At 43.2% G+C, this 23,096-nt stretch overlaps 1 protein-coding gene across 12 annotated transcripts in view, besides 1 other annotated feature; it reads right to left on the bottom strand.

Moving 5' to 3' along the window:
* Positions 1 to 23,096, bottom strand: part of LAMA3 (laminin subunit alpha 3) — a 265,614-nt gene that overhangs the window by 106,224 nt on the left and 136,294 nt on the right. For 7 of the 12 annotated variants that reach the window (XM_011525978.3, XM_011525982.3, XM_011525979.3 and 4 more), the window contains 11 exons: positions 22,026 to 22,141; positions 21,376 to 21,529; positions 14,855 to 15,015; positions 11,754 to 11,862; positions 9,965 to 10,062; positions 8,914 to 9,058; positions 6,322 to 6,448; positions 6,093 to 6,232; positions 3,719 to 3,834; positions 2,335 to 2,546; positions 1,175 to 1,379 (listed from right to left, as the gene is read on the bottom strand). In XM_011525978.3, coding sequence (XP_011524280.1) covers positions 1,175 to 1,379; positions 2,335 to 2,546; positions 3,719 to 3,834; positions 6,093 to 6,232; positions 6,322 to 6,448; positions 8,914 to 9,058; positions 9,965 to 10,062; positions 11,754 to 11,862; positions 14,855 to 15,015; positions 21,376 to 21,529; positions 22,026 to 22,141 — 1,583 coding nt within the window. The remainder of the gene's footprint in view (positions 1 to 1,174; positions 1,380 to 2,334; positions 2,547 to 3,718; positions 3,835 to 6,092; positions 6,233 to 6,321; positions 6,449 to 8,913; positions 9,059 to 9,964; positions 10,063 to 11,753; positions 11,863 to 14,854; positions 15,016 to 21,375; positions 21,530 to 22,025; positions 22,142 to 23,096) is intronic. The other 5 variants (XM_011525980.3, NM_198129.4, XM_047437506.1 and 2 more) reach the window with 1 other exon arrangement.
* Positions 846 to 1,691: an enhancer, noted in NCBI's record as "H3K27ac-H3K4me1 hESC enhancer chr18:21427116-21427961 (GRCh37/hg19 assembly coordinates)". NCBI's record gives its function as "activates a minimal SCP1, AML or CMV promoter by ChIP-STARR-seq in primed H9 embryonic stem cells {active_cell/tissue: H9 hESC(primed)}" and the evidence as "EXISTENCE:reporter gene assay evidence [ECO:0000049][PMID:30033119]".

Raw genomic sequence — 23,096 nt, 5'->3', positions numbered from 1 at the left:
GTTCTCTTGCAGACCCTCCGGAAGAAACCAACCCTGCCGACATCTTGATTTTTAATTTCCAGGCTCCAGAAATGTGTAAGAATAAATTTCTGTTATTTTAGCGTTGTTTGTGGCATTCGTTAATGGCAGTCATGGGAGACTACCACAGCCACCCTCAAGTGGGAGTCACTGAGGCCTGTCCCCAGCAGCCATAGGCCCTCTTGGCTCTCACACCCAAATTACGGACTCCATAATATCCATGTGCCTGGGGTGCGTGCTGAAGGGAGTGGGGTGCATGGTGAAACTTCTGCTTTCCCCTGCACGCTGCCATCCTGGCCTGGCCTCTGACTCAGTTTCCCCAGCATATCACCACTGATCTAATTCTTACCAGTCTCTCCTTCTAGGAGCCATACGCTTTCTCTGGCCCCTGCAGCCCCCACCCAGTCCTGCTGAGATCAGGCTTGTCACCTGGAACCATGTGACACCGGCCTCCACATTCCAATGCAGCCTCTGAATCAAACCTCTCAGCAATGCAGCATCTGCATGAGCCGAGGTCTCCACCTGTCCCTTAGCAATTAAGTACTGGACTGCTCAGCGATCCTCTGAGGGCAGCCCCACTCTCAGGCCAGGCTCTCCAGCCTGTCTCCTGTTCACCCTGACTCCCTCCTCACTCCCACCAAGCCCTGCTGTGGAGGCCTCAGCTCCCCTTCCAGCCCAAATCAGCTAGGTGGGATTTCAGACTCTGTCACACATTGACCTTAACCACACTGCCAGCGAACCCTAGAAGGAGGGTATGAAGCTCATACCTAAATACAAATGGACAGGTGCTCACCACAAGGCATCCCAGCAAAGCACACAGATACCTTCATTATGCATGTATCATTCTTCTCCCACTTCTGCCTCATGGCACACACAGAACACAGTCCCATAGTGACAGCATGCTGGAGTCAATGGGCAAGGCTGCTGCCGGCCCAAGATGACTGGTAATCTGTCCACACAGGCTCTGCCCAGTTCTGAGCCTAAGGGACCAATCACTCCACCCACTGCAACCCATCCTGTCTGGGAAGCTCATGCCGAGGTCAACACAGGGCACCCCTGGACAGGTGGGAAGTGGAAAGTGACGATGACCAGTGTGTGGGCAGATGGCACGCGACCTCCCTGTGACAGAAGCAGACAGGCTACTCCCCCAGCTCACCTGCACTGCCCGCTGTCCCGGTCACACTCCGGCATGGCAGCCTCGATGGTGCCCCTCCTGGAACAGTTGCAGCCTTCGCAGCCGGCCATGGGGTGGAAGCTGAATGAGTGTGTCTCACACACCTCACACTGGGGCCTGACCGTGCGGGGAGGGCAGCGGCACTGCCCCGTCATCTCTTCACAAAGGCGCCGACCACAGCTGCACGCTGGCCAGGGGATAAAGAAATACCATGTGAGGGTCAAAGGCCGCCTGGGCTCCAGCAGCACTCCACCAACTGCCAGGCTTTCCAGAAGCCTCCAAAGGGTCAGAGAGAAATATTTGGATCTGAAAGGCCCATTTCTTGGAGTCAAGACCAACCACACCAAATGCTCATGGCAGACAGTGTGGATGGGGATTGAGGAGCCAGCCAGATCCAAGAAAGACCCTCCAAGGAGCCCACCTCGCTGCCACTGTGTGCCACTCATATGGGGCCTCTGGACCATTGAAGGATTCTGGAAATTGGTAGGAGGCTGCTCTCAGGCTCCCTGAAGTGGCTCCACATCCACATCACCCCAGTACCCTGTGCGTCCAGAGCCCAGGGTCAGGGCACAACCTGGCAGCAGGGTTCTTGTTCCTTGGCCTCTGCATGGGGACTCTGCACACTGCATTTCTCACTGCAGTCACGTGAAGTGAGCTTACCCTACCCCTCGGACCACAAGATGGTTCTGAGATAAAGGTCCCATGGGTTCTCATTCAGTGAGTAGCACTGCCACATGACCCTGGCTGTCCTATCTCAACTGAGTTTGGGTTGGGCCAAAAAAATGGAAGGGGCTTCTGTGACGAAGGGGATCAAGCTCTCCAAGATTCTGAGGTTTAAGACTTGTCACACTCACCTGCTTTGCCAAGTGCATAGGCCACACAGCAGGGGAGTCACAAATACTTATCTTCTAGAACATTGCTACTTAGAGTGCGGTCCATGGACCAGCAGCATGGGCATCACCTGGGTGCTTATTGGAAATGTAGAGACTCAGGCTCCAGCCCAGTCTCCTGAATCAGAATCTGCATTTCTCCAGATCTCCAGGTGAGTCTCTAGCACAGTGCCACTGAAGAAGCCTGCTCCTGGTAAGCATCATCCACACGGGACCAGAGCAGAACTTGGGTGATGGGAAACGTGCACTTACGCTTGCAGCGTGGGAATCCGTAGTGGCCTGTTGCACAGCGGGTGCACTGCCGCCCGATGACGTTGGGCTGGCATGGGCACTGCCCACCCTCAGGGCTGCAGTGAGGGCCGGTGGCCCCAGTGGGGTGGCACTCACAAGGCAGGGCGCCCTTGTGGTAAAAGGCCACCAGGGACCTGGCGGAATTCTTACAGAATCTGGAGGCTGTCTGGGGGCTGTGGAGACAGAAACAACTCATGGTGATGCCTGGGGAGGTGTGTATGGGAGTGGCCTCAACCTTGCCTTTACCACCTGCTCCACCCAGCAGCATCTGTGGGACGGGCTCATGGTTCTGGAGTCAGGGAAGAGTGGGAAATACCCCACCTCAGACTCAGCCGGTGACAGCCACACCCTCCCCCTACCACCTGCCACAGGAGGAGACATCACAGAACAGGTCAGCGGGAACCTTGCACAGCTGGGATAAAAGAGTAGAAATAGACCTAAAAGATGAACTATATGTTATGTGAATTATAGCTCAATAAAGTGGTTACCAAAAAAGTCGACCTATGTGTATAATAATACAACTAATAAAATGATAATGAGGAGGAGAATCGCTATCATTCATTGAATGTTGTGTGCTGGAAACCTTAGTAATATCCCACATGACCTTCCAACCTCCCAACCAATTAGGCCTAAGCCCTAATTCACAGATAAGGCAACTGAGGCTCCTAGAAGTTAGGTGACATTCCCAAGGCTGCAAGGTTATGGAGTGGCTGAGCAGCATTCACCTCCACAGCTGCTTAAGAGCCTTTGCTCTTAATATTCACTGTACAGGAGGTGTCTGCCTCCCAGAGCTTCTGGAGTACCTGGGCTCTTCAGGAATCTATGACAGGGAAAGGGTGGGTCCACAGAAGAGAATGGCAGGAGCTGATACTCAGGGCCATCCTAGCTCTTAGCATTCAAGGACACAAGGAGAGAGGGCAGGGAAGCCATGTCTCTGGACACTCCCTGCTTGGTTAGATGGCGGAGGAGAGTGGGACTCAGGGCTGATGTCCTTCCCAGTGGAGGGTACCCTGTGTGGTATGTCTTAGGAATCTGTGCTGGCACACAGGAAACAGTGGAGAGGGAAGGAAACTCCTAATCAGCCCCTGAATCTCAGCTTGGGGTACGGACCCCCGTTGAGTTCATAGCTGAGGACAGTCATCTTTCCCAGGCAGCACATGGCAAAGTCTGTCATGCGAGGGTTGGTGTGGAGAAAGAGCATCTTCCCCTGGGACTCACTGACACTCTCTTGGGCAGTGCGGGGAAGAGGACGGATCCATGGGCCAGCCCCTCCCTGGGCCTCGAGCTGGTCAGGAATGTGGGAGTGCCTCTGCATTCCAGAGCCTTCCCACAAAGTGATACTCACTCAAGGTAAAAGCTGTTTTTTCCACAATTGGTGATAAACTCGAGTGACTTGTCCATGGATTTTTTGTGAAGTATTTGGTAGTCATAGTTTTCTGCAGGCACCACTAGAACACGGACCTGAAAGAAATCCACCAGCATGTCTTAGAATTTCCAATGATGACACAGACCTAAGGCTACTTATTATACAGGTTGAGCACCCCTACTCGAAAAATCCAAAATCTGAAATGCTTCAAAATCTGAAACTTTTTGAGCACTGACATGATGCTCAAAGATCATGCTCAAAAGAAATGCTCACTGGAGCATTTTGGATTTGGGATTTTTGAATTAGGGATGCTCAATCTGTAAGTATTATGCAAATATTCCAAAATCTGAAAAAAATCTGAAATCCAAAACACTGCTGGTCCCAATCATTTCAGATAAGAGATTTTCAACCTGTACTTTCTCTTCACTGAGATCAACACCCTTATTGTTAAGACCAAGACCAAATGAATCAGGATTTATGAAAAACAATCACAGGAACAGGCCAAAGCCAGGAGTAAAGGCTCAGTCCACATTACTGTGCAGGGAATGATGAGTTCCCAGGCAGAGCCCTTGGAACTTCTACTCAGAGAAGCAAAAGCCTTGCATGCTGGCTGGGTCACGGGACCTTAAGGGTAAGCAGGGGCCTGCTGGATGGCCAGGGCTCCATGTGACCCATGCCTGATGTCTCCCTGGATCTCCAGGGATGGCTGTTTTGTATTTTTAAAGGGAAACAAACAAAAGTGGCAAGAACAATGCAGAAAGAAGGTGTTAGCTTGTCCTTAGAGCTTTCATCATACTTGGTACCCTATTATGAATAATGGTAGTTTGGTTCTCTGTGCCAGTATAAATCAGAATATGCCTATAGCAAACACTGTAGAAATTTTCAAACATCTTTGTCAACTGCTCACCAGCTCACAGCTTACAGGGAGCTTATTACTCTCATGATATTCAATTCAATAAACGTTTGCTGAGCACCACACACCAGGTGGTATTCCAGGCACAAGGGATGCAAAATGAACAGATGCAGCCCTTGTCTCCTGGGAAGACGACTTCCTCAGAGAGGAGGAGGCTCACTCAGAGACCTGGAGGGCCACACAGAGAGTCTGGGCAATGCTTCCTGGAGGGCTTTGCAGAAAGACAAATTAACTCTGAGCTGGGTGAGTGGGTAGGCTGGACTTATCCAGGTAGAGAAACAGACAGAAAATGTCAGAAAAAGGGACAGTGTGAGAAAGCCTGGTGGCATGAGAGGACATGGCATATCTGGGGGTTTGAGAACGGATTTGTATGGCCAGAGCGTGAGGTGTGGGAGGCGTGGAGTAGGGCAATGGCAGAGAGAAAGATAAAAGATGAATTAGGGGGTCGTGAGGGCCTGAGTGAGGCACGTGGATCCTAGGGAAATACATGGAGTGTATCCCATCAGTTGTTGGAAGCCCAGAGAAGTGGCTGGGTCACAGGGCATGCTCTAATCCCTCCAGCCAGGTAGGTAATGGCCAGGAGTGCGGAGGAGGCACTGGAAGGAGGTGGAACAGGAAGGGAGTGCTGCCAGGAGGCTGGCCCTGCCCAAGTGAGAGGAAGGATGGTCAGTGAGGACAACGGGGCTAGAAGAGAATGGTTGCCTCCAGGAGGCACGGCAGAGAAAGACTCTGGGGTGTGGTAACAGATGTGGGAGCAGAGCTGCTAGAGAAGGGGGGTCAGCATGACTCCAGGCACTGGTTGTCATCACTCAAGGTGATGAAAAGGGTAGGCACATCGGGGCTATGCAGGGTGCAGACTAAGCAAGGGACTTTCAAGATCTCTGGCCAGGCAGATACGCAGGAGATGGTGGTCACATACTGGAGTTCAGGAAAGATCAGAGATGACCTCACAGATGTGGGTGTCCTTCCCACAGTGGAGAGAATAGAATCGATGGGCACGGAAGATGTATCCAAGGAGAAATGACACAATGAGGGGCTCGGTGTCAAATCGGAAGGAACGCCAACACACAGTGACAAGTGGAAAAGAGAAATCACCCAAGGAGCGCTAGAGAAAGCAGGGAAAACAGAGAGAAAGCAGCTGCAGGGGCCAAAAGAAGAAAGGAGCGAAAAATGCTCCAGAGACTGGTCAGATGAGGAAGCAGGGGCTGGTGGAGAGGGGCGACGCCTACTCTCTTCTGTCCTAGTTCCCTTGACTTTAATTGTCACATGCTTTATTTATTTATTTATTGGGGGGTAAAAGACAGCTGTAAAATTTAAACATTTTTCTACAAATATGACTTCAATTCCTTGGAAGAATTATTTCCATGAGCTAAACAGACACCCAGAATGGCCAGCCAGGCAGGCATGTGAGGAGCAAGTTGAGGAACGAGTGGAACGCACCAAAACCAAGGACTTTCCTTCTGGAACCTTCACAGTTGCGGCCACTTCAGGCTCTGAGATGTCAAACTCAATCTGGCCTTCGGCAATCACTTGATCCCGGCAGCCAAGCACATGGGGGCAAAAAGAGGCATGGAAGGAGCCTGGCAGAGAGAGAGAGAGACTTTCTGTCATGCACCGGACTGTAGATTCAGCCTGAGGCAGGCAGCAGGGCCTGCTCACTGCAGCTCACCTGCCCGTGGCCACCCGCCATCCACCGACACCTGCGCGGGAAACGTCGGGTGCGCTGCTTGGTAAAAATGGATGACAAAGACGTATCGGCCCAGGTGTGGTACACGTCCTCTCAGGGTCACTTGATTCTAAGAGGAAAAAAGAGGAGGAAAAAAAATTAAAAACCCTCAAGCTGAAGAGCTATGAATAACTGGAATCATAGAGTATTCAAAGGTTAAAAAACAAAACAACCTAAGTATTTACCAAAGTGAAATGACAACCCATCTTCACCCAGAAGCCTTCACACATACATTTACAGTAGCTTTTTTGTTGTTGTTGTTATCACAAAAACTGAAAACAAACCAAATGTCTCTTGGTTGCAGATTGGATAAACAAACTGTGGTACAATCATACATGTTGGAGGGGGTATAATTTGGTAAGTCAGGTTGGAAACCTGTTTGGCAATATTTACCAAAGTTGAACACATAACCCAGAATTGGCCTTCTGGGTACATATCCAGAAGAAATGTGTAATGTTTGCAAGAAGGCCATACTTATATGTTCATAACTGTGCTATGCATAATAACCATGCAATAAAGAGTCTGACTCCATTTTTTTTTTAAGGGACGAGGTCTCACTCTGTCACCCAGGCTGGAGGGCAGTGGGGCAACCATAGCTCACTACAGCCTCAAACTCCTGGGCTTAAACGATCCTCCCACTTCAGCCTCCCAAGTAGCTACGACTACAAGTACGTGCCATCATGCCTGGGTAATTATTAAATTTTTGTAGAGATAGGGTCTTCCTATGTTCTCCAGGCAGGTCTTAAGCTCACGGTCTCAAGCAATACTGCCGCCTTGGCCTCCCAAAGTGCTGGGATCACAAGTGTGAACCACTGTGCCCAGCTCTGACTCCATTTTTGATGTTTGCCCACTGACAGCTTTCAAGCCCTATTATACCCTTGTCCCTTTTGTCCCACACCCAAACAAGCTGATAAGACATCTCAGGGGCTCCCAGCTCCCTCCTTTGTCATGAGTGGGGAGTTCTCATCACATAAATTCCAGCCCCTGGGAGAGGGAGTCCTCCTGGATGGCCCTGGCTGGCCCTCCCTCCACTCCCACCATGAAAACGAGTGTTTTTGAGGGCTAAAAGCTGGAGCCCACCCTCCTTTGGCTCAAGCTCGAGTACAAGCCCTCTCTCCCCAGAAAGCCTCACTTTTTGAGTAATGAATCTTTTAACTCACAAAAATCTTCAACAGCAACAACACAATAACAACTAAAGCTCATCCTCATTTTTCAGATGAGACCCATGACTCGGGGGGGTAAATAGTTCATGGAAAATGACACACTAATTTCATGACAAAAGCAGGACTAGAACTCTTGTCATCTTGATTTCAACTCATTTCCCCCTATTATTCTGGACTGCCTTTCCCATATGGGATTTTATTTGATTCTGTCGCTCAGATCCTGTAGATTCCCAAATCCAATGCACTGTGAACACATGCAAACCATCTTTGAGATTATAAGGACATAATACAGGTTGGACATCCCTAAACTGAAAATCCAAAATGCTCCAAAATCTGAAACTTTTTGAGCACTGATATAACGTTCAAAGGAAATTCTCACTGGAACATTTTGGATTTCAGATTTTCAGATTAGGGATGCTCAACCCATAAATATAATGTAAATATTCCAAAATCTGAAATTCAAAACATTTCTGATCACAAGCATTTTGGATAAGGGATACTAAACCTTGTAATATCATAATGTAAATTATATTTTTATAATGCAGAACTTTAAAAGTCCTGTGATTTTTTAGCTTACGGAATGCATTACTTTATTATATTTCACCTTTGTGCTCTAGATGATTGATTAATAAATGTTTATGGATAATTTCCTACCTGCAAGGTGCAGTGGGGGATACAAAAAAGTTTACTGGTTCGAGACCAACCTGGGCAACATAGCAAGATCCCACCTCTACAGAAATTTAAAAAAAAAATTAGCTGGGCAAGGTGGTGCTCACCTCTAGTCCCAGCTACTTGGGAGGCCGAGATGGGAGAATTGCCTGAGCCCAGGAGTTGGAGGCTGCAGTAAGCCATGATCATGCCACTGCACTCAAGTTTGAGTGATAGAGCAAGAATCTGTCTCAAAAAAAAAAAAAAAAAAAGAAAGAAAGGTTCTTGGCTACAATAACTATTCTAAAAGTCTTATGATCCAACTTGGGAAGAAAACTAATAAACAACTATATTAAACAGCAGCAGTCCACAAAAATATAAGCTATCACAATATGGGCCATGAATAATTGCCAAATATCTAGTGGACAAAGCCCAGGAGGGAAAGGGCATCAGGCAGGGGTGGTCCTAGGCAGGATTAACCAGATGCCTGCATTTCTGGGACTCTTCACAGAAGACAGTAGAGGTTCTCAAACTTCAGGGGCATCAGAATCACCTGGAGGGTTTGTTAAAACACAGATTCCTGGGCCCACCCCCAGAGCTTCCAACTCAGTAGGTCTGTAGTGGGTCTGTGAATCTGCATTGCTGACAAGTTTCCAAGTGATGTGGATGCTGCTGCTTCAGAGGTCATACTTTGAGAACCACTGGTTTAGAAACAGCACACTACCTGCGGTGCCTTCAAGGTGACCCCAGGAAGAACATCAACAGAAGGTGACGACTGCTGGGGCAGGTGAGGGAAAGGCCTGCCACTTAGAACATCCAAAATTAATGCTGTTGGAGGAGTTTCATGGGCCAAGGAGACACAGGTGGCACTGAAAAATAGAATATTTAAAAATCTGATTTTTAAAAGAACCCAAAGCTACAGAACTGACCATCAGTGAAGAGACAGACTTGGAGCATAGGACTGCATGGGCATCAAAAGGATCCAGTGCTGGGGGAAGCACAGAACTCTAGGGATCTTTATATAATGATACTCATGCCAAGTGTATTCCAGCCACCTGTTCCATTGAACTAGTTGAAACAGAGAGAATCTTAATTTTGAAGTAAAGTAAGTTAGATAGAAACTTATGGAAACTTCCCTTTCCAAAACTAAAATTAATTGTTAAAATGAGATCAATACAATAAAACATTATTCACCTCTAAACATAAATATTGACAGAACACTATATAAGAAAGAAAAAATATACATCGTCTCTTTTACGCACAACCAGAATCACATTGTGTTGGTAGTTCCTACAGTCCTAACTATGCACACCAGATTTCATGACCATGCCCATAAGCTGTTTTTGAATCTACAGCAAAACAACCCTACCAAAACCCCAATAAGCATTAGTTAGCTGATTCTCATCACATAGTTATGAGATAGGTCATTATTTTCATGGTTTTCTAAATGAAGAGTCTCAGACAGAAAGATTAAAAGATTGGAACAAAACGAGTCTTTTCGAGGGCTCAGAATAGAACTCAGCGTTCCTGCCCTCCAGGGGTAGGCTTAACCATTTCCCTGGTTGTTCCTGGGTCAGCTTCCTGATATTACGGAATTCTGGAAAAACTGCTGGGGTAAATTATTTAGCTGGTTTTTCTTTCTGTTTTAAATCCACCACCAGACTTTAGCACCTTGGCTTATGATCATTTCTGACGTTGAGTATAAAGTTTCAGCCTTACACTCATCCCAGTATCACTCAGAACATGAACGGGGAGACAGGAAGGAAACACATTACCTTTGATTGACAAATCGCCCATAACTGGCAATGCAGTGGACTTGTGGTCTCACATACTCAGCTGAGAATTCTTCAATAGGTATGATACAAACTTGATGCTAGTGAGCAAATACAATGCACAAAGGCACATTGCAGTTACCAGCAAAACAAACGGTATGGCCAAAAACACCCTTTTAAAAAAGCTATTAAGTAAAGGATTTATCCATAATAATTCTAATCGTTATTTTAAAGTAGTAAATATTGCAGGATGGCATGTCCTCAGGCATCATTATGTGCAACAAATCCTTTTTATTGTTTTATAGAATTACTGACTGAATTACTGCTGAAATACTCACATAAATAGAACTGAGAACAAAGCCATAAGGAAGCTCAGAAACTACTCTTTTCAGTGACTTCCAGTGCCTGTTTTTTTCTGTCTTGTCTTGCGCCAATCCTGGCTTTTCAGGCCCGTTGGGAGGAAGATAGGGGATGTGGTGTGGGCCAGAGAGCCTGCTTTTCAAAGTGAGGGCTGCCACTGCTAGAAATAACCCTTCTTAATAAAGAATGACTCCCATCTCAGGCTAATTTGGCCTTTGTTGAAGGAACTGTCTCCAGAGCTAGTTTTTGAGTCACACAAAAAAACTTAGTCATTAATTTATCAATATACTTCATTTTAAATCAAAACTGTATTACCAGCTTGATTGCAAAGCTATTCAGTAACAACAACAAACATTTTTGGTGAATACCACTGAGACTAGGGGGTCTTACAAGTCCAAGATGGACAACACCCCTGCCTTCATAGAGCTTATGTTCTAGCCAGCCTTGACTCTGAATGGCATTTGACTACTTCAAAAAGGGAAAACTTACCCTTAAATGATGAAGATTCAGCTCCATTATAATTTCTAAAGATGAAGAGGTTAGATTCCCTCAGATTGTTATGTTTTAAGAAGGAGTCATAATTTTATAATTATAATTTTTTAAAAACTGAATTCCAGCTACTTCTTAAGAGCAGGCTCCAAGTTTTTAATACTATCAGGCACAAATATTTAAAACACATTAGTACAGGCTGGCCTGGCATTTCCCAGGGTGTGATGCATGCGTAGTATCAGCAGTAACAGGAAGTTGCTTCACACTTAGAGAATCTTAAATTCCCTGTGATATTCATTGTAAATCTGGCCACCTCCTTTCTAGTGAGATCCCACTGGCTCTGTTTATCAGAATACTCAATGTTCAAGTCATGACATTACAAGGGTGGGCATGAAGATTATTTAGTCTGCCACACTTGATATTTTAACTCTTAATAACATATATATATATATATATATATATCTGATTAACTGAATGATATTCTTTTTGAAATAGTTTTTTAGTTTTTTTTAAACTAGGTAATTATAAGCTTTAAAATTTTGATAAAATTTACCAAGAAGCTAATAGAGATAATAAAATAGTAAGATGGAAAAGAAAATAAACAATAAGCAATGGGATTTCTAAACTCTGGCAATAATGGTAAACTAGGAAATATAATAACAGAAGACATTTTCTTTATAATAGTAGAAATGAATAAAAACTAATGAAACGGGATTTTGTGAGAGGTGCTTAAATATGACTAAATTTTATTAGGCCATATCAAAAAATGCTCAAACAAATGAAGAGGCAAGTCAGGTTCTAGATGGGAAGAATAAACATTAAACTGGCAATTCTTCACAGATTATAGGAGTAATACAACCCCAGCCAAAATTTTAATAAGCTTCAAAAAATATAGATATCAGCAAAATGCTTCTAAAATTCAATGGGCAAAACAGAAGCATACCAGAAGGAATCGGGCCATGTGTCCCTTGAGCTGAATGTCTGCATCTGCCAATAGCTCATACATGGCGATGCGGCTCATGTGATCAATCACAGCACTCCGGCAGAGAACACTGCAAGAGAAAACAGAGTTTTCTTAGCCTGACTCCCGGCATCTCCCTCATTCTGCACATCCTTCTGGGTTGGCTGATGGCTCTTTGGTTTCACCTGTTTATAACTGAATGAATTATAGTGAATTTTCCTGCATGATGAGTTGAAGAAGGATGCAGCTCGCAGTCTCTATGGGGAAAATAACCTTCCTGCCGTGGCCAGTGTTGTACCTCTCAGGGCTAAAGGCCCCATTCAGTTTTTCTGCCTGGCTTGATGAAGTACTAGGTTTAGTCCTCGAGAGAAAGGGCCCCAGGGTCAGTAACTGCAGATCTCTAAGACACAGCCAACATTCTCGGGGCTATTCACAATTAAAGTCACCCGCTAGCCTCACAGCCACCATCCCACGCCAAGACAGTGAGCATGCTGGCCTTCCTCCAGCATGGAAAGACCCTGAGTTTGCCTCTGAAACTCAGTCTGGTTCTCCTCCTTCTTCCTTCTTCATTTCTACCTGTGGTATCTCTTCCCTCCATCACATCAAGTGAGATACAGAGTTCAGGGGCATTTAAAAGCTCACAGTTTTGAACCAAATAACTCTAACGTTAAAACCCTTAGAGGAGGTACTTTTTGAGTAATGTTTCTGACTTCATACTCTGTTGCAAATTTTCTGTCTGTAAATATAATTTGAAACTACTGTTATATTAAAACAAAAGGACTATTTCTGAGAAATATTTGAAATAATTTAGGCAATGACTTTTTGGTGAGGATTAAAATGAGATAAGTTATATAAAAAGCCAAGCCCAGTGTGTATTGTATATTAGAAACTTAATAAACTGTTGTTTTCTTTCTCACTCCCCTATGTGAGTGTGTGTGTGTGTGTGTGTGTGTGTGTGTGTGTGTATCCATTAAAACACATTCTTTTGGATTTAGGCATAATCCTAGGGTTAAATATACTAAGTAATTTACTTAGTTTTATCCTTATCCTATATTAAATTCCTCCTAAGAAATAGCCTAACAGTAATAACCAGATTGATCTAATCACTAATGATCATCTCTCTTATGGAGAGCAGATTAGATTTATCACAGCACTACTTTGAAAAGTGGTTTTCTATTAGCACCACTGCTATTCTGCTGGGATTTTTTTTTTAACATCGTTAGAACTCACTTGAGAAATGCTGGGAAAAGTTGAAACCTCAGCAGAAGATGCTGCAACACTGAAAGGGCCTGTCATTTAACATAGGTTTTCATGGGTCAAATATTTTCCAGTTGCGCCATATTTTTTGGACTCCCATACTTGTAGCCTGTTGATTTTCACTCATCCACATGACAGGCAAGGAAGAGAAAGAGGAAGTATTTTAGCCACGTGAAAAAATAGAACGGGACACTCCTTGGAGGGATTAAACACAATGAAAGTGTTTCCTAGACTGAAACCATGCTGTCCTGTGTTTCTAAGGATAGAAACTCCTAAAGCAGGACTTTGGTGTTGTCATGTTCAGAGCCAAAATGATCTGCAGACTGACATGCAGTTCACTCTCAATAACTCCATTCAGACTTAGGTCATGAAACAACACCCATGGTGCCCAGAAAGGGTGTCCTTTCTTTCTTTGGTTTTGAAACCACTCCTCTCCTTGGCATAGATATTCTCAGAGCTCTTCTGAGATGATTCAGAGTCACCAGGGTTGTTATGAATAGTTCCTCCTGCCCCCTTAGCCATCTCCACTTTGTATCCTGAGCAACAGTAGTCAAGCCATGGGATCTGGAGGTGGAAGGAGCTGGAGAGCCGAACTGGTGGGTGGGCGTGGACAAATGGGTATGGAGAAGCCCTGGTCCAGGCCCTGCGGCTAACAGTCTCCAGGCCTCAGGTGAGGTGGCAACCCACCCATCTGGGAGTGGACATTCCAGTGGTTGCTGATTTCATCTATAGACAGATACCGCTCATATCTTCAGATAATGACAGAACATCCCTGGAGAACTCTTTTAGGCTCATTTTGTGCTTCTGTTAAAACTCCAAATACAATTACCTTCTTTGGTTCTATCATCATTCAAAGACAAAGACTTCGCAGCTGCTTGTTTAGCGTTACTGAGGGCATGATGTTGATTCAATAGCCATTTCATCGATTCTCATAAAAGTTTCCATTCTAAGCTACTAAAAGTAACTCTTTGGATAAGTTTTTGTTTATTTGTTTATTTGTTTTCATTTTCACAACAGGGAAGATGTCCATTGCTTCAGGTCATCTTGGGTTTGACAAAAAGCAACATGAAAGTAGTAGTAATACAATGTTCAAGGCCATGGCCAAGAACTGGATGGGTTTACTGCAGTGCTCCATCTGCTGTTTCAAGGAACTCTGACTTCCAGTCCCATTTAGTATACAATTAATTTCATGTGGAAACACCCCTTGTGCTGATTCTTTAATTACAGCATGCTCTGAACATTTGCACACATCTTGAAATATTATGCAAACAAAACCATTTTTAATAAGCCCTTGTCAGTTAGTGCTCTTGGAAGAGAAGAACTTCATCAGGGCAAATTTTGAAGTCCTTTGTTAATTTTTTTTTCCACTTGACAATCATCAAACATTAATTATCCCCAGTTCTGAAGGTGTGTTGCAAAGGTAGGTGTGCACCCCCTAACATTACTGAGAATGAGTCTTTTTCCTTGTGCTATGCACCCAGGTACTTGACACAGCCTTTGAGGTGAGAGCAGTGAGTTCATTGCATCGCACCTGAGTGATAGAGAATCAAATAAAAAGGTTGTGCTGTGCCATGTGAATCTGAACCAAATTGCTAAGTACAGCATACAGCTTTTTAAGAAAATGCCACATTTTTACACTGCCCATAGAGAGGACTCCCAATACCCACACTGGTGATGACGTTGGGCCACACAACTAGTCACCTGCTTGTTTTCAAGAGCTGCCTCAAAAAGAAAATAACCTCCCAATGCAAGTAACAGCCAAAGTTCCTAAGGCAGATTTCCTAATTGTTCCTTTACAGAGGAATTCCCTTGGTGGGGCTGAGTACCTGTAGTTGCAGCTGTAAATGTTCACCTGGCCTGCCAGAACAGACCCGGAGCTCTTCACATTCACATCAACCACAAACAGCTGAGCTGCCTCCGTGGAATACTCGACCACAACCACGTAGTGGCCAACCTGTGGGATGCGCAGCCGCAGATGCAATTCCACCTGTCACAGAGGCCAAGCAGACAGACTGTGATCCAGCTGTGACATGTACAGGCCACACTTGCATCAGCAATGGTGAAAATAGAGCCCAGAAGACACCCTGGAAGTATTTTTATATGTCATCCCAGTAAGGAATATGGTCCTACAGGTTGAGATGCCAGATAAAACACATGGTGCCCTGTTAAATTTTAAATGGAAATAAATAACAAACAATTATTTATTGTTTATTTGGACAATTTAATGGGGCATCCCGTATTTTCGTTTTCTAAATCTGGCAGCCCTACTTAGAGAAACTTCTACTATTTCTACCCAGGAGTGTTTTTGCTGCTTGTTTCTCAAGGTAAAAGACATTCTAAAACTTGAAGTAAAAATTAAGTACTGATGAGGAATAAGGGGAATGGAAATGTGCCTTTGGGCTCTTTAATTGTTTTTTTTTTAATAAGTTTTAAATTGTATCAAGGGAAATAATGTAAAACACACACACATCTCGCTCCTGGGATAAGGAGTGTTAATAAGGACTGTTAATGATTTTCATACCAAACCATTTTCTATGCCCAAATATGCACACACGTTTTGTTTCATTAAGAAAAACTGTGATCATAGTAGACAATTCGGGATGTCTTTGTGCTATGATGACAGAGACCACAGGGCCTGCAAAACCAAAAATATTTACTATCTGTCCCTTTACAGAAAAAGTGTGTCCTCCCCTGATATCACCTACTGGTTAGGAGCTTGGGGTCTGGAATCAGACAGCCTCCAGCTGTGTGATCTTGCACAAGTTACTTAACATCTGTATGCCTCGGTGTCCTCCTTAGTAAAATACAGATAACAATAGTACCCCCCTCTTAAGATTGTTCTGAGGATTAAGTGAATACATACAGAGCTCTCAGAAGTATATCTGACATATAAAAAACACTATGTAAATATTAATTATTATAATTTGATTATTGCTTTTTACTATGACTTGCTTTTTTTACTCAATGGTATTTTACATGTCTTTATTGCAAAAATATATACATGCAAATACACTTACATGCAAATATACTTCATTTTTTGAACAGCTGCCTACCATTGTGTGGTATGAATATAAAACTATTTAACAAATCCGTTATTGAGGGACACAGGTTGTCTTTAATTTTCCCTACAACCTATAATGGTATACAATCATCATGCATATATCCTAATGCTAGTATTTCTGTAAGATTCCTAGAAGTGGAATTGCTGGGTCAAAGTGTGTACACATACTTAATGCCTGGGCCAATATTAGAACTTTATTCCTCAGCAGTGTAACCCACCTCCGCCTGCAAGCTCAGGCCCAGGCAAGATTTACCACACTTAATTAAAATGGTCCTCCCTCTCCCTGCCTTAGGAAATTCACATTTGGTATTCCTTCTGAAAGGCTCTGAACCACGTAACTGCTATTTTCCACAGTGATTTTTTTTTCTGTCACTTAAATGACAGAAAGATTTCCCTCTGGGAAAGAATGTGGATCAGCCATACCAATGTTGACTCCATGTTCTAGAGGGAAATATGGCTCTGCCACTGCTCCGTGTGGCGAGGTTACTGCCAGCATTTCTCCCCTGGGCATCTCCAAACAAGGGCCTGACTGTCATTACCCCACCACAAAACACTCACAGGTCAGTGATGTACCAGGTTTTCGCCCAGAAGTTATTACTGGCAGCAAGTTCTATCTAGCACTCTATTATAAATTTCTACTACTCTTTCCACTCTAAATTATATGGATTACCTGTTGGAAGACTTGTTTGAAGAGTTTAAGGTACATTTGATGGGCAAAGTCAGGTTTGAGAAACTCAGATAAAAGACATAAAAGATGGCACACAGAAACTTTACTGCTTGCTGTTATGATTATTTATGTGTGTTATTTATCTTTAAAAAGGTGAACTTTAATGGAATCAGTGTCAAACTGGAGGAATATTTCTGGTTCTATGGCACAGAACTGACCTCCACTAGTTATTAGTGTTTTAGGATAAATACATGGAAAGTGGGTTTATCAAATCTGTTGCCTATACAAACTAAAAGGGATAACTAATATGTCTGATGTCAAAATGAGGATTCAAATGATTTGGTCAGCAAATATTACTGAATACCTATGCTATGCCAGTCCACCAGCGAGGTGATAGGTATACAATGGGAAGCAAGACAGACATACCCTCAGACAGACTTGAATCAAGTAATTAGATAACTAGACAAACACAGCATAAAACTACATGTGAATAATGTTCTGCAGAGGTGTAAGACAGGGGCCTGAGCTAGTCGAGGAGATGAGGGAGAGCGGAAGGCTTCCTTGAAGAACAGCAACTTAGTTGAGTGTGGAGGACAAGGAGAAGACAACCAGGCCATAGGGGAGAGAAGAGTGTTTGGGTAGAGGGAACGGCTTGCAGTAGGAGGCTACATACAACATAGAATGCTGTAGGGTCCCATAAAATGCAAGCCCAAGAGACTGAAGGTAGGTCAGAGGAGCAGAGAAACAGAGAGCAAGAGGGAGTATAATAAAATTGGGAAGTAGAAAGGGCAGTTTTATAAGCCATGTTAAAATCTTTGTCTCTATCCTAAGAGCAGTAAGTGTTGATCAAATATTCCCATCAGAATGTGAGTGCTGGCTATAGTCTGGAGAAAAGATCAAGAGGTGCAATGGGCAGAGCAGACGTGGGTCAGCTAGTTAGGAGGCTTCTACAGAGATTCTCACAAAAATGATTGTATTTTGGACAAGGGAGATGGAAGGAGAATGCCAAGAAAAGTTCGGGATGTACACTCACAGATAGATTAGTTTGGGTGCGGGAAAGAATTGGAGAAGTCATGGATGACCCTAAGAATTTTGGCTTATGCAATTAGATGGATGGTAGCAGCATTAATTTAGGTAGGGAATACCGAAATGGAGTTTGAGGTTGCTTTGAAACATCAAAGAGGTAATGTCAGGAAGGAAGGTAGACTTGCTGGTCTGCATATAAAAGCAGAGGTATGACTGGGCATAACAATATGGGAGGTATCTGTGTGGAGGTGGGTCTGATACAATTGCCATGGATCAGACTCCTCGAGACAGAACATAGAGTAATAAGGCCTAGGACTGAGCATTGACAAATTCTAACACTTAATGGCTAGACAGAGGAGGATGAGCCTGCAAATGATATTTTGAGGAAGCGGTGAGAGAGGCAGAAAGAGAATCAGGTTGTCGTTAATTTTTAAATTATTAAGACAGCTCTTAAATTATGAAAAACAAGAGAGAGTTTGAGAATTCAGGGAGTGTCCATCAGGCATCGAAAGCTGCCGAGAAGTTAAACCGATGAGGACTGAAACATATCCACTGGATTTAGTGACAAAGATCTCATCGGAAACCTGGCAAAATAAATTTAATGGAGTGGGAGGTGAAAGCCAGACTGAAGTGGGTTGAGGTGTGAGTAGGGCATAAAGAATTAGAAACACAGAGTGTAGACAATATTTTGGAGGAGTTTTGTTGTGAAGGGGAGGAGTATGGTGTAGTGGCTGAGCTGAGGGAGAGAGAGGAGGATTTTAATAAAAACAGGTTAGCATTTTTTAAAGATGGGTGACTTCTGGTTCAGATGGCACAGAGAATTCACATTCACTATACTCCTGCTCCAAGAGAGACCAACTCTGGATAAAACGTTTTAAAAGAACAACAAAAAGATATATTTAGAATCAAAAGTAATAGGTGATAAAACATAAGTTAAAGAAAAACCCAAAATGGCACCAGGACTGAAGTCACAAGCCTGTTGTCCTCTAGGTCTGGAAGCAGATTATTTTGGTCAGCAGTTTAGCTCATGCAGAGTTAAGAGAATAAAACATGTGCCATAGGAGACAGCGGCCAGATCGAGGCACATTTTTTGAAGACAAGGATGTTCAAATTTAAAAAGAAGCTAAAAATTGCTTCCAATCTGCCTCCTGGGTTATGGATTTATAAGAAGCTGTGTGAAGGTCAAATACTGCATGTTCTCACTTATAAATGGTAGCTAAGCAATGGGTACATATGGACATACAGAGTGTAATAACAGACACTGGAGACTATGAAAAGTGGAGGGATGGGAGGGGGTGTTGAAAAAGTACCTATTAGGTACAATGTTCACTATTTGGGTGATGGGTACACTAGAAGCCCAGACTTCACCACTATGTTATATATGCATATAAGAAACTTGTACTTGTACCCCTAAATATATAAAACTAAATAAATTTTTAAAAGAAGCTATGGAATTTGGGAACCAAAAATCAAATATGTGGCCTCATGACCAAGAACTGAGCTATGCCATTCATGGGGTCAATGTCTGAATCTCCTATCTTCAGTGTCATAACAATAGAGAAGGCACACTGTAATGCCTGCTCCTGGGCTAAGGATCCAGTGGACAGCTAAGACAATGCAAAATTAGCAGGCTGAAACAGATGCGAAAGAAGGAGAGGATAAAAACCTCTCATTCAAAATAAGCCAATATGCCTGTAAACAAAATTCAAAACACATAAATTGAATATTAAGAAAGACAGGTAACAAAATAATCAGAGATGAGTTCACTTCAGATGAGGTGAATTTTATGGAATAGTCTGAGAAAGACTTTAAATATACTGGCCCATGATCTGAAATCCCCAAACTCTGAAAAGGAAATAGGTTTTGTAACTGTTTTGGTGGCAAACCTAACCTAACCAATAATCATTTGCTGGCAAAGTCTGAACTAAACTGATATAAGTCTATGTATATAGTCAGTTAGTGTCTCCCTAGGTGTGCCTATTCATGCTTTTCACTGGAGAAATATTAACCTGTTTGATTATAGGGTATTATCCCAGACCTCACTGGAGATGTTATCTTTTTTCAAATCTTAAAAATTTTGAATTCTGAAATACACCTGGCTCCAAGGCCTTTAGGATACTAAAAAAGCTAAATGAAGAAGTAACTTCCACTTAAAAGTACATGAAGTTTTGAAACAAAAACTGGCAGAAAAGACAAGAAAAAATAAATATGATAAAGAGCCAATTGAAAAGTTTTAAAAGTATAAATTAAACTGAATCAATAAGCTGGATAATTTCTAGACCAGAGATAGTGAAATAAAATATTTCCGTATTGTAAAAGAGCCTTGAGGTCCTGCTGACTAGCTCTGTGCTATAGCTCTGGGTTAAATCAGAGGTTAGAACCTCCTAGATGAGTCATCAGCATCACTTCCTGGTGGTTGCCCCTTCTCAACGGTACCTCTTGTTGTCTAGGGAACACACACACACAAATACACACACACATACATATACCTGTATATGTACGTGTATGTGCATTTTATGTATATATGTATGTATGTACACCTATATACATGTATGTGTGTATGTGTGTATACACACATAGCATGTGTAGGGAGGGATACAGCAAACTTAGTATTAGAATGAAGTAGAGGGAAGATCATTTAGGTTTTTTATGCATATCTATATTGTTTTACTTGTTACAAGTAAATATTATTTCGTAGCATGAAAATTCAAATAAAATGAAGACTTTACTTAAGAAATATACTTAAAAACCTTTAACTGCTACCTTCAAAATGTTAGAAATGTAGTTTACAAAAATGTACACATCTAAAAGTTCAGTTACAATTAACTCCACATATATTTTCATCCCACAAATTTAATCCCCCAAATGAATATTTTCCTCAAAAGGACAAAACAGAGAATGTTACAGAGAGCAAAGAATAAAAATATAGTGGAGGAAGTCTTTCAGTGTCTTCATTTTGAAGTGTTGTGTATTCTTATTGTTATGGTTGATATCCTATAGCTCTAACTCGAATCTGAAATCAGTATGATCTTAAATTTGGTTCTGAAGTTCGAAGAACTCCTGGAAGAAAAGTAATACCAAGACCTGTAGTAACCTGTCCTCCAAGCCATGAGGTAGGTGCCAGGGGATGTAGAAGTTCCGGATTCTGAGCTCAAGGAATTCAGCTGCTACAAATTGCTTAGCCTAAGGGGTTGAACAGTCAGTGAGTGTGGTATCCTTTTAGGGTAAGCTGTGTCATTTCTGGACGCTTACTAGATTGAGTCTCATCTGTCTTTTAAGAGAAATCTTGCCCTGAATCATGTAGAACAGGATGCCCCCTTCTAAGTCCAGATAACCAAAAAGAAAGGATTCTATAGATGCCCACATCCCCTGCCATGTCTAGAAAGTGCTCAAAGAACAACCTGAACATGGCTCCATGTAGCGTACCATCCAGCCCCACCCTAAATCAGATAGTTCAGCAAATGTTGATAAACACCTCTGAGAAATTCTTCCAGGTTCCCCTGAATTTGAGAAGCAACTGTGGCCAAGTATTTTTAGCAGATACAGATGGGGAGGTAGTAATAACTTTGATAATAAATAAAAGGCTGGCCCACCTCTCTCCCGCTGAGGTCCACCATGACAGGGTGTGCAGGTGTGGGCTGCCTCACTGCCACGGGTCTTGGCTCCCCATCAAGCAGGAAGTGTCTGGCCTCACAAGCCAGGGTACAGGGGAATCTGGTCACTGGCAAATGCTGGTAGAGTAAGCAACTTCAACAACAGCAACAACAATGGAATCAATAGTTACAACTGAGAACATCAAACGGAATATCAAAGTACATCCCCAAAGACTCTCAGTCATTCAGTTCACTCATTCATTCATCATCCTTCAATAAACTCTTATTAAGTGTCTGCTACAAGAATTAAGCAATAAATTTTCATCTGCATGGGGAAGAGAAGAAACAAAGGTCCACAAACCTGGCTTCTATTTTAAGCTCTTCCTCCCACCAGATGTATGACTGACCTTGAGGGCATTGACTTGGGCATGCATCAACATTCCCACATGCTGGAGGGTGGTAGCCACTCCTAAGCCAGCTATGGTGTGCAAAGTGCTTTGTGAATCTTACTTGAAGAACACAAGTAAGACATAGAGGAAGATAACAACTAATTATCCAGAGCATCATGCTGTCGTTGTGATCCTGAGACACCTCATGAAAGCTTGCATTAAAGGCTCCTAATTTAGAGGACCCCAATGATGCGGCTGCACCTTCTGCCCCACACTGACTTTTCTTGGGGAGGTCCTGCGTAGGCACATGGTTCTGTGACTGGCAGCTGCAGTACAGAGGCTTCATAGTAGTCCCTGGGGAGCAGCACCAGGTAATCCTAGAAAATAAAGACCAAAAGGAGAATCATTCATTTTGATGGTAGCCCTACTTTGGATAGAAAATAATCAAACATACTAGTTAAATCAATAATAACCAGGTGAAGTCGCTAGTTAAACTCTCCATATCAACTGCTTTGTTCTTCATCCCGACTCACCGAAACACAAAGAACCACTCATCAAAGATTCTTTATGTATCAGAGAGAAACTTGTCAGTGTGAACAGTTTTATTCTTCAAGTTTCAAGAGAGATTTTACTGTCTCTCCTTGGTTGTTTATAAATTCACAAATTAACAAAGATAATAAATTGTCAACTGATGAAATGTTCTGTGGAAATGCTGGTTGCCTTCAGCAGTACAGAACACTGAATGTGGATCACTTTCTACTCCCACACCCGAGTAACGCTCAACTGGCACGGTATAAAAAGCAATGCCTTGTGATCTTGGTGATTCACAGAATGGAACTGGCCTACTGCCTGTCCCAAGAAACGAGAGGAAGAACATGTTCCACTGAGTGTGCCAAACAAAGCCCACAACGTAAATTCAGCTAAGCAGCTCTTCAGGAAAGAGCAGAGCTGCAGGCTTCTGGGAGGTGAATGATTGACAGCCCCTAGCCGTCCTGACAGCAGCACATATCTGCAGAGGGAAGAGGGGAGGGCAAAGAGCTCATACACAGACCACAAAGCTTTTTCTCTCCTCAGACAGAAATGTATAGGAGGGGAAAAGTAAGAGATTGTGGCTGAGGGGACTCAGTAGGTTTAAATTTTAAAAGGGTTACTGTTCTACTAGTAAGTTTGCTGAGTTTGGGACCATGTCTCCTCTCTCCTCATGACTTTATAGTCTCACAGATAATAGAATAGTAAAGGTTGATCATAGGCACCCTTATGATGCCTAATGATAATGTCATTAGGCATCTTCCATGCCTAAACAGTAACTTTTATAATGAACTTCTACTTTCC

Source organism: Homo sapiens, chromosome 18 (genome assembly GCF_000001405.40).
Source record: "Homo sapiens chromosome 18, GRCh38.p14 Primary Assembly".
Taxonomy (NCBI): Eukaryota; Metazoa; Chordata; class Mammalia; order Primates; family Hominidae; genus Homo; species Homo sapiens.
This window is presented reverse-complemented; position numbering and strand designations above follow the sequence as displayed.